The 10,913-nt window shown below is 56.8% G+C and overlaps 1 pseudogene, besides 2 other annotated features; it reads right to left on the reverse strand.

The window, feature by feature from the left end:
* Window positions 375-670, reverse strand: RN7SL400P (RNA, 7SL, cytoplasmic 400, pseudogene; annotated as a pseudogene).
* Window positions 7,664-8,351: an enhancer, noted in NCBI's record as "H3K27ac-H3K4me1 hESC enhancer chr15:21315461-21316148 (GRCh37/hg19 assembly coordinates)". NCBI's record gives its function as "activates a minimal SCP1, AML or CMV promoter by ChIP-STARR-seq in primed H9 embryonic stem cells {active_cell/tissue: H9 hESC(primed)}" and the evidence as "EXISTENCE:reporter gene assay evidence [ECO:0000049][PMID:30033119]".
* Window positions 9,728-10,413: an enhancer, noted in NCBI's record as "H3K27ac-H3K4me1 hESC enhancer chr15:21317525-21318210 (GRCh37/hg19 assembly coordinates)". NCBI's record gives its function as "activates a minimal SCP1, AML or CMV promoter by ChIP-STARR-seq in primed H9 embryonic stem cells {active_cell/tissue: H9 hESC(primed)}" and the evidence as "EXISTENCE:reporter gene assay evidence [ECO:0000049][PMID:30033119]".

A 10,913-nucleotide genomic window follows, 5' to 3' on the forward strand; every position in this document is an offset into this window, starting at 1 on the left:
TTATTTATTTATTTATTTATTTATTTATTTATTTACTTATTTACTTACATTTTTAAATTTAATTTTTTTTTTTTTTTGAGATAGGTTCTCACTCATTGCCCAGGCTGCAGTGCAGTGATGTGATCTCGGCTCACTGCAACCTCTGCCTCCCAGGTTCAAGTGATTCTCCTGCCTTAGCCTCCTGAGTAGCTGGGACCACAGGCACATGAAATCATGACCAGCTAATTTTTATATTTTTAGTAAAGACAGGGTTTCGCCATATTGGCCAGGCTGGTCTTGAACTCCTGACCTCAAGTGATCCGCCCACCTTGGCCTCCTAAAGTGCTGGGATTACAGGCGTGAGCCCACTGCACCCAGCCTATTTATTTGCTTTTAGAGACGGAGTCTCACTATGTTGTCTAGGGTGGAATGCAGTGGCTATTCACAGTCACAATCCCTCCACTGATCAGCACAGTTTTGACCTGCTCCATTTTCATCCTGGGCCTGTTCACCCCTCCTTAGACACCCTTGCTTACAGGAGGTCACATATTGAAGCTGAACTTAGCACAGACACTCGATCAATATAGCACACTACAGCCTAGAACTCTTGGGCTCAAGAATCCCTAGGCTTATCCTCCTGCCTCAGCCTTCTGAGGAGCAGGAACCACAGGGACACACCACTGTTCCCGGCACCATATCTTCTTGACACTAAGAGACCAGGCTCTGAACCACTGTGTTCAAGTTACCCCGTTGTGGGGCCTCTGTTCCTGCCCTAGGGGCCTCCCTGACTCAGCAACTGTGGGTGGCTTTGCTTCTGTGCCTGGACAGCAGAGGAGGTGAGAAGCCTTCCAGTTCCTTGAAAACCAAATACGGCCAGACCAGGCCTCTGAGGCCCAACCCTCAGGCTTGGCCTGCTCCTGCCTGCTCATATGGGCTGTGGGGCGCAACTCCCTACTCAACCTCCTGGCTCTGCTCCAGGGGGCTCTGGCAGAACCTCCATCCAGATCCTCCTTCTCAGGATCTTGTTGGGAAAAATACTGAAAGAGAACATAAAATGAGTGCCTCTCATCCATGCTGCAATAATTCCTAATTCTAAGACTTTGCTCATGTAATTTGGTCCACGGAGTACCTCTCAAATCAGTGTTTAATGTGTCTTTGGTGGCCAGTGTGAGCTATCAGGAAGAGTTACTTTATAACTGTGAGACCTGCAGTAAGTCACTCATCTCATCCATCCACCCATCCATCCATCCATCCATCTACCCACCCATTGGGCACCTACCTGTGCCAAACACATTACATACAGACTCTTCTTCCAGACCGGAAACTCCATGAGAATTGCAGACCAGGTGTCAAAAGATAATTATTCAGGGCAGGCATGGTGGCTCATGCCTGTAATCCCAGCACTTTGGGAGGCCGAGGTGGGTGGATCACTTGAAGTCAGGAGTTTGAGACCAGCCTGGCCAACATGGTGAAACCCTGCCTCTACTAATAATGCAAAAATCAGCCAGGCGTGGTGGCATGCATCTGTAATACCAGACACTTGGGAGGCTGAGACAGAAGAATCACTTGAATCCAGGAGGTAGAGGTTGCAGTGAGCCAAGATCGTGCCATTGCACTCCAGTCTAGGCAACAGAGTAAGACTCTGTCTCAAAAAATAATAAAAAAATTAAAAAAAAGATAATTATTCAACCAATATCCATGTGTCTCAATGTGTCTCCTCCAATTTATATATTGAAACATAATCTGCAATGTGGTAGTATTAAGAGGTGGGACTTTTGGGGGCGATCACTTCATGAAGCTCCATCCTTATAAATGGGATTAGTGCCCTTATAAAAGAAGCCTGAGGGAGTTTGTTCACCCCTTCTACCATGTAAGGACACATAGAAGACGTCCTCTATGAGGAACAGGCCCTCATTGACACCCAATCTACTGACGCCTTGTTCGTGGATTTCTCGGCCTCTAGAACTATGAGCAACATATTTCTGTTGTTTATATATTACTGAGTCTGAGGTATTTTGTTATAACAACAGGAGCAGACTAAGACAATGAACCGATGGGCCAAGGCTTGTCCTTACTACAGTCCTGGTAAGGCTGTTATCATTATCACCCCCATTTCACAGTTGAGAAGCCCGACACTCAGAGAGGGGAAGTACAAAGAACATACAGCCAGAGATGAGTGGAGCTGAGACTTGGCCAAGTTCTTAACCCTCCTAACAGGGAGGAACCATGCTAAGGGGCAGGCCCTGGAGGAGGACACGGACCATTTCTCCTTCAGCTCTTGGCTTCCTTGGCAGGAAGTGGATTAATTCTTTCTCTTGTCTCCTTCCTAACCAAGCCTTTGAGGGTGCCCAGCTCAGAGTCTACAAAGTCCTTTTCAAGGTTTCTAGAGCCCTCCTCTCAGCCCTGTAGGGGATTCAGGGCGGGGGGACCTTCCTCATGGTTCAGATGGGAGAATTGAGGCCTCTACTGCCCACAGTTATGTGCCATATTAGGGGCCTGGAATCTCATGCTTCAAGAAACTGAGCATGGAACTGGCTGCTAGATATTTCCTGTAGGTGTGGTATGAAGCTCTTAGAGTCTGACAGGTCCTAGCTCTGCCACTTACAAGTTATGCAGTCTTAGAGGAATCACTTCACCCCTCTGAACTGCAGACTTCTCCCCTGAATAGTGAGGACAGTGCTAGTACCTATTTGAGAGATGTTGGGAGGATGAAATGAAACAATGCTTGTGAAGCACTTAGCGTAGTACCTGGAACATAGTCAGTGCTCCAACAATGAGGCTATTATGGTACTAAGTACCTAAAACAGAACATCAGACTGGTAGGAATATCCATGCTGAGGGTAATGTTAGCTAATGTTTCCCTTTTTTTGAGACAGAATCTCGCTCTGTCGCCCAGGCTGGAGTGCCATGGCCCAATCTCAGCTCACTTCAACCTCCACTTCCCAGATTCAAGCAATTCTCCTGCCTCAGCCTCCCATGTAGCTGGGATTACAGGCACAAGCCACTTCGCCAGCTAATTTTTGTATTTTTAGTAGAGACAGTGTTTCACTGTGTTGGCCAGGCTGGTCTCCTACTCCTGGCCTCAAGTGATCCACCCTCCTTGGCCTCCCAAATTGTTAGGATAACAGGCGTGAGCCACCATGCCTGGCCAGCTAACGTCTTTTTTATTGCTACTATGTACCAGACACATTCATCTGGACAATATCCCTGTAACTTAGTGCCATTTTACAGATGTGATAACTAAAATTAGCCCAGCTAATTTTCTTGTATATTTAGTAGAGACGGGTTTTCACCATGTTTGCCAACCTGGTCTTTTTTTTTTTTTTCTCAGATGGAATCTTGCTCTGTTGCCCAGGCTGGAGTGCAGTGGTGCAATCTTCGTTCGCTGCAACCTCCAACTCCCGGGTTCAAGCAATTCTCCTCCCTGGGCCTCCCGAGTAGCTGGGGTTACAGGCGTGTGCCAGCACGCCCAGCTAATTTTCTTGTATATTTAGTAGAGACGGGGTTTCACCATGTTGACCTGGCTGGTCTTTTTTTTGTTTGTTTGTTTGTTTTGTTTTTCTGAGATGGAATCTTGCTCTGTTGCCCAGGCTGGAGTGCAGAGGTGCAATCTTGGTTCGCTGAAACCTCCACCTCCCGGGTTCAAGCGATCCTCCTGCCTGGGCCTCCTGAGTACCTGGGGTTACAGGCGTGTGCCAGCACGCCCAGCTAATTTTGTTGTATATTTAGTAGAGACGGGGTTTCACCATGTTGGCCAGGCTGGTCTTTTTTTCTTTTTTCTTTTTTTTCTGAGATGGAGTCTGGCTCTGTTGTCCAGGCTGGAGTGCAGTTGTGCAATCTTGGTGCACTGCAACCTCCACCTCCAGGGTTCAAGCGATCCTCCTGCTTGGGCCTCCTGAGTAGCTGGGATTACAGGCATGTGCCACCATGCCCAGCTAATTTTTTTGTATATTTATTAGAGACAGGGTTCCGCTATGTTGGCCAGGCTGGTGTTTCTCTTATTTTTTTGAGATGGAGTCTTGCTCTATTGCCGAGGCTGGAGTGCTTCTTTTTTTCAGATGGAGTCTCACTCTGTTGCCCAGGCTGGAGTGCTTCTTTTTTTTGAAATGGAGTCTCACTCTGTTGCCCAGGCTGGAGTACAGTGGCGCAATCTTGGCTCGCTGCAGCCTCCACCTCCTGGGTTCAAGTGATCCTCCTGCCTGGGCCTCCCGAGTAGCTGGGATTACAGGCCTGTGCCACCACGCCCAGCTAATTTTTTTGTATATTTAGTAGAGACGGGGTTTCACCATGTTGGCCAGGCTGGTGTGTTTTTTTTTTTTTTTTTTGGTTTTTTTTTTTTTTTGGAGATGGAATCTCGCTTTACTGCCCAGGCTGGATGGAGTGCTTCTTTTTTTTCAGATGGAGTCTCACTCTGTTGCCGAGGCTGGAGTACAGTTGTGCAATCTTGGCTTGCTGCAGCCTCCACTTCCCGGGTTCAAGCGATCCTCCTGCCTGGGCCTCCTGAGTAGCTGGGATTACAGGTGTGTGCCACCACGCCCAGCTAATTTCTTTGTATATTTAGTAGAGACGAGGTTTCACCAAGTTGGCCAGGCTGGTCTTTTTTTTTTTTTTTTTTTTTTTTTTTTTCTGAGAGGGAGTCTCGCCCTGTTGCCCAGGCTGGAGTGCAGTGGTGCAATCTTGGTTCGCTGCGACCTCCACCTCCCGGGTTCAACAGATCTTCCTGCCTGGGCCTCCCAAGTAGCTGGGATTACAGGCGTGTGCCACCACGCCCAGCTGATTTTTTTGTATATTTATTAGAGACGGGGTTCCACTATATTGGCCAGGCTGGTGTTTTGTTTTGTTTTTTTTTTTTTGGAGATGGACTCTCGCTCTACTGCCCAGGCTGGATGGAGTGCTTCTTTTTTTCAGATGGAGTGTGGCTGGGTGGCTTGGGTGGCTGGGCTGGCTGGCTGGCTTGGCTGGGTGGCTTGGCTGGCTGGCTGGCTGGCTTCGGTGGCTGGGTGGCTTGGCTGGCTTGGCTGGCTGGCTGGCTGGCTTGGCTGGCTTGGCTGGCTGGCAGGCTTGGCTGGAATGACTGGATTGGCTGGCTTGGCTGGCTGGCAGGCTTGGCTGGAATGGCTGGCTTGGCTGGCTTGGCTGGCTGGCAGGCTTGGCTGGAATGGCTGGCTTGGCTGGCTTGGTTGGCTGGCTGGCTTGGCTGGCTTGGCTGGCTGGGTGGCTTGGCTGGCTTGGCTGGCTGGCCGGCTTGGCTACCTTGGCTGGCTGGCAGGCTTGGCTGGATTGGCTGGCTGGGTGGCTTGGCTGGCTTGGCTGGCTGGCTGGCTGGCTTGGCTGGCTTGGCTGGCTGGCAGGCTTGGCTGGAATGGCTGGCTTGGCTACCTTGGCTGGCTGGCAGGCTTGGCTGGATTGGCTGGCCTGGATGGCTTGGCTGGCTGGCTGGCTTGGCTAGCATGGCTGGCTCGCTTGGCTGGCTGGGTGGCTTGGGTGGCTTGGCTGGCTGGCTGTCTTGGCTGGCTGGCTGGCATGGCTGGCTTGGCTGACTAGGTGGCTTGACCGGCTTGGCTGGCTGGGTGGCTTGGCCGGCTTGGCTGGCTGGCTGGCTTGGCCGGCCTGGGTGGCTGGCTGGCTTGGCTGGCTGGGTGGCTGGCTGACTTGGCTGGCTGGGTGGCTTGGCTGGCTTGGCTGGCTTGGCTCTCTGGCAGGCTTGGCTGGATTGGCTCTCTGGCAGGCTTGGCTGGATTGGCTGGCTTGCCTGGTTTGGCCGGCTTGGCTGGCTGGCAGGCTTGGCCGGCTTGGCTGGCTGGCTGGCTTGGCCGGCTTGTCCGGCTGGGTGGCTTGACTGGCTTGGCTGGCTGGGTGGCTTGGGTGGCTTGGCTGGCTGGGTGGCTTGGCTGGCTTGGCAGGATGGGTGGCTAGGCTGGCTTGGCTGGCTGGCTGGCTTGGCTGGCTTGGCTAGCTTGCCTGGCTTGGCTGGCTTGGCTGGCTTGGCTGGCTGGGTGGCTGGCTGGCTTGGCCAGCTGGGTGTCTTGGCTGGCTTGGCTGGCTTGGGTGTCTTGGCTGGCTAGGCTGGCTGGCTGGCTTGGCTGGCTTGGATGGCTGGCTGGCTTGGCTGGTTTGGGTGGCTTGGCTGGCTAGCTGGCTTGGCTGGATGGGTGGCTTGGCTGGGTTGGTGGGCTGGCTGGCTTGGCTGGCTTGGCTGGCTTGGATGGCTGGCTGGCTTGGCTTGCTTGGCTGTCTGGGTGGCTTGGCTGGCTGGCTGGCTTGGTTGGCTTCGCTGGCTGACTGGCTTGGCTGGCTTCGCTGGCTTGACTGTTTGGGTGGCTTGGCCGGCTTGGATGGCTGGGTGGCTTGGCCGGCTTGGTTGGCTGGCTGGCTTGGCTGCCTCGGTGGCTGGCTGGCTTGGCTGGCTGGGTGGCTGGCTGGCTTGGCTGGCTGGGTGGCTTGACTGGCTTGGCTGGCTGGCTGTCTTGGCTTTCTAGCTGGCATGGCTGGCTTGGCTGGCTGACTGGGTGCCTGGCTGGCTTGGCTGGCTTGGGTGGCTTGGCTGGCTAGGCTGGGTGGCTGTCTGGCTTGGCTGGCAGGTTGGCTTGGCTGGCTTGGCTGGCTTGGGTGGCTTGGCTGGCTAGGGTGGCTGGCTGGCTTGGCTGGCTTGGGGGGCTGGCTGGCTTGGCTGGCTTGGCTGGCTAGGCTGGGTGGCTGGGTGGCTTGGCTGGCTTGGCTGGCTTGGGTGGCTTGGCTGGCTAGGCTGGGTGGCTGGGTGGCTTGGCTGGCTTGGGTGGCTTGGGTGGCTTGGCTGGCTAGGGTGGCTGGCTGGGTGGCTTGGCTGGCTTGGCTGGCTTGGGTGGCTTGGCTGGCTAGGGTGGCTGGCTGGGTGGCTTAGGGGGCTGGCTGGCTTGGCTGGCTTGGCTGGCTTGGCTGGCTGGCTGGCTTGGCTGGCTGACTGGCATGGTTGGCTTCGCTGGCTTGGCTGGCTGGCTTGGCTGGCTTGGCTGGCTGGCTGGCTTGTCTGGCTTGGCTGGCTGGCTTGGCTGGCTTGGCTGGCTTGGCTGGCTTGGCCGGCTGGCAGGCTTGCCTGGCTTTTCTGGCTTACTGGCTTGGCTGGCTTGGTCGGCTTGGCTGGCTGGCTTGGGTGGCTTGGCTGGCTTGGCTGGCTGGCAGGCTTGGCTGGCTTGGCTGGGTTGGCTGGCTGGCTGTCTTGGCCGGCTTGGCTTGCTTGGCTGCCTGTGCTGGCTGGCTGGCTGGGCTGTCTGGCTGGTTGGCTGGCTTGTCTGGCTTAGCTGCCTGTGCTGGCTGGCTGGCTGGGCTGTCTGGCTGGTTGGCTGGCTTGGCTGGCTTGGCTGGCTTGACTGACCGGCTTGGCTGGCTTTGCTCTCTTGGCTGGCTTGGCTGGGTGGCTGGCTTTGCTGGGTGGCTGGCTGGCTTGGCTGGTGGTCTGGTTTGGCTGGCTGACTGGCTGGGCTGGCTGGGCTCGCTGGCTGGCTTGCCCAGCTTGGCTGGCTGGGCTGGCTGGGCTCGCTGGCTGGCTTGCCCGGCTTTGCTGGCTGGCTGGCTGGGCTGGCTTGGCTGGCTTGGCTGGCTGGGTGGCTTGGCTGGCTGGCTGGTTTGCCTAGCTTGGCTGGCTGGCTTGGCTGGCTGGGTGGGTTGGCTGCCTTGGCTGGCTGGCTGTCTTGGCTTTCTAGCTGGCATGGCTGGCTTGGCTGACTGGGTGCCTGGCTGGCTTGGCTGGCTGGGTGGCTTGGCTGGCTTGGCTGGCTTGGGTGGCTGGGTGGCTTGGCTGGCTGGCTTGGCCGGCTGGGCTGGCTGGCTGGCTTGGCTGGCTGACTGGCATGGTTGGCTTCGCTGGCTTGACTGTTTGGGTGGCTTGGCCAGCTTGGCTGGCTGAGTGGCTTGGCTGGCTTTGCTGGCTGGGTGGCTTGGCTGGCTTGGCTGGCTGGGCGGCCCACTGGCTTGGCTGCCTGACTGGCTGGCTGGCTGGCTGGCTGGCTGGCTTGGCTGGCTGGGTGGCTTGGTTGGCTTGGCTGGCTGGCTGTCTTGGCTGGCTGGCTGGCATGGCTGGCTTGGCTGACTGGGTGGCTGGCGGGCTTGGCTGGCTGGGTGTCTTGGCTGGCTGTGTGGCTTGGCTGGCTTGGCTGGCTGGGTGGCTTGGCTGGCTTGGCTGGCTAGGTGGCTTGGCTGGCCTGGCTGGCTGGCTGGCTTGGCTTGCTTGATTGGCTTGGCTGGCTTGGCTGGCTGGCTGGCTGGCTTGGCTGGCTGGGTGGCTTGGCTGGCTTGGCCAGCAGGGTGGCTTGGCCGGCTGGGTGGCTTGGCTGGCTTGCCTGGCTGGGTGGCTTGGCTGGCTTGGCTGGCTGGCTGGCTTGGCTGGCTTGGCTGGCTTACTGGCTTGGCTGGCTTGGTCGGCTTGGCTGGCTGGCTTGGGTGGCTTGGCTGGCTTGGCTGGCTGGCAGGCTTGGCTGGCTTGGCTGGGTTGGCTGGCTGGCTGTCTTGGCCGGCTTGGCTGGCTGGCTGGCATGGCTTGCTTGGCTGCCTGTGCTGGCTGGCTGGCTGGGCTGTCTGGCTGGTTGGCTGGCTTGTCTGGCTTAGCTGCCTGTGCTGTCTGGCTGGCTGGGCTGTCTGGCTGGTTGGCTGGCTTGGCTGGCTTGGCTGGCTTGACTGACCGGCTTGGCTGGCTTTGCTCTCTTGGCTGGCTTGGCTGGGTGGCTGGCTTTGCTGGGTGGCTGGCTGGCTTGGCTGGTGGTCTGGTTTGGCTGGCTGACTGGCTGGGCTGGCTGGGCTCGCTGGCTGGCTTGCCCGGCTGGGCTGGCTGGGCTGGCTGGGCTCGCTGGCTGGCTTGCCCGGCTTGGCTGGCTGGCTGGCTGGGCTGGCTTGGCTGCCTTGGCTGGCTTGGCTGGCTGGCTGGCTTGGCTGGCTTTGCTGGCTGGCTGGCTGGGCTGGCTTGGCTGGCTTGGCTGGCTGGGTGGCTTGGCTGGCTGGCTGGTTTGCCTAGCTTGGCTGGCTGGCTTGGTTGGCTGAGTGGGTTGGCTGCCTTGGCTGGCTGGCTGTCTTGGCTTTCTAGCTGGCATGGCTGGCTTGGCTGACTGGGTGCCTGGCTGGCTTGGCTGGCTGGGTGGCTTGGCTGGCTTGGCTGGCTTGGGTGGCTGGGTGGCTTGGCTGGATTGGCTGGCCGGCTGGGCTGGTTTACACGGCTGGCTGGCTTGGCTGGCTTGGCTGGCTGGCTGTCTTGTGTGGCTGGCTGGCATGGCTGGCTTGGCTGACTGGGTGGCTGGCGGGCTTGGCTGTCTGGGTGGTTTGGCTGGCTTGGCTGGCTGGGTGGCTGGCTGGCTTGGCTGGCTGGGTGGCTTGGCTGGCTGCGTGGCTTGGCAGGCTTGGCTGGCTGGGTGGCTGGCTGGCTTGGCTGGCTGGGTGGCTTGGCTGGCTTGGCTGGCTGGGTGGCTTCGCTGGCTTGGCTGGCTAGGTGGCTTGGCTGGCTTGGCTGTCTGGGTGGCTTGGCTGGCTTGGCTGGCTAGGTGGCTTGGCTGGCTTGGCTGGCTTGGGTGGCTTGGCTGGCTTGCCTGGCTTCGCTGGCTTGGCTGTCTGGGTGGCTTGGCTGGCTTGGCTGTCTGGGTGGCTTGGCTGGCTTGGCTGGCTGGCTTCCTTGGCTGGCTTGGCTGGCTGGGTGGCTTGGCTGGCTTGGCTGGCTGGGTGGCTGTCTGGCTTGGCTGGCTGGGTGGCTTGGCTGGCTTGGCTGGCTTGGGTGGCTTGGCTGGCTAGGCTGGGTGGCTGTCTGGCTTGGCTGGCTGGGTGGCTTGGCTGGCTTGGCTGGCTTGGGTGGCTTGGCTCGCTAGGGTGGCTGGCTGGCTTGGCTGGCTTTGGGGGCTGGCTGGCTTGGCTGGCTTGGCTGGCTAGGCTGGGTGGCTGGGTGGCTTGGCTGGCTTGGCTGGCTTGGGTGGCTTGGCTGGCTAGGGTGGCTGGCTGGCTTGGCTGGCTTGGGGGGCTGGCTGGCTTGGCTGGCTTGGCTGGCTAGGCTGGGTGGCTGGGTGGCTTGGCTGGCTTGGCTGGCTTGGGTGGCTTGGCTGGCTAGGCTGGGTGGCTGGGTGGCTTGGCTGGCTTGGCTGGTTTAGGTGGCTTGGCTGGCTAGGGTGGCCGGCTGGGTGGCTTGTCTGGCTTGGCTGGCTTGGGTGGCTTGGCTGGCTAGGGTGGCTGGCTGGGTGGCTTGGGGGGCTTGGCTTGCTTGGCTGGCTGGTTGGCTTGGCTGGGTTGCTTGGCTGGCTTGGCTGGCTGGCTGGCTTGGCTGGCTGACTGGCATGGTTGGCTTCGCTGGCTTGACTGTTTGGGTGGCTTGGCCAGCTTGGCTGGCTGAGTGGCTTGGCTGGCTTTGCTGGCTGGGTGGCTTGGCTGGCTTGGCTGGCTGGGCGGCCCACTGGCTTGGCTGCCTGACTGGCTGGCTGGCTGGCTGGCTGGCTGGCTTGGCTGGCTGGGTGGCTTGGTTGGCTTGGCTGGCTGGCTGTCTTGGCTGGCTGGCTGGCATGGCGGGCTTGGCTGGCTGGGTGTCTTGGCTGGCTGTGTGGCTTGGCTGGCTTGGCTGGCTGGGTGGCTTGGACATTAAATATAATATATTTGGTACATTAAATATAAACATTGTATACATTAAATATAAACATCTTTTATACATCAAACATAAACATTTTATACATTAAATGTAAACATATACATTAAATATAAACATCTTGTATACATTAAATATAAGAATACATTTGGTACATTTAATGTATACAATACATTAAATATAGACATTTTAGACATTAAATATAAGCATATATTCAGCACATTAAATGTAAACATATTTTATACATTAAATATAAATACTGTATATGTTAAATATAAATATGTATTTTCTATATTAAATATAAATATGTATTCTGTACATTAAATATAAACATTTTCTATATTAAATATAA

The sequence above is a fragment of the Homo sapiens genome, chromosome 15 (assembly GCF_000001405.40).
Source record: "Homo sapiens chromosome 15, GRCh38.p14 Primary Assembly".
Taxonomy (NCBI): Eukaryota; Metazoa; Chordata; class Mammalia; order Primates; family Hominidae; genus Homo; species Homo sapiens.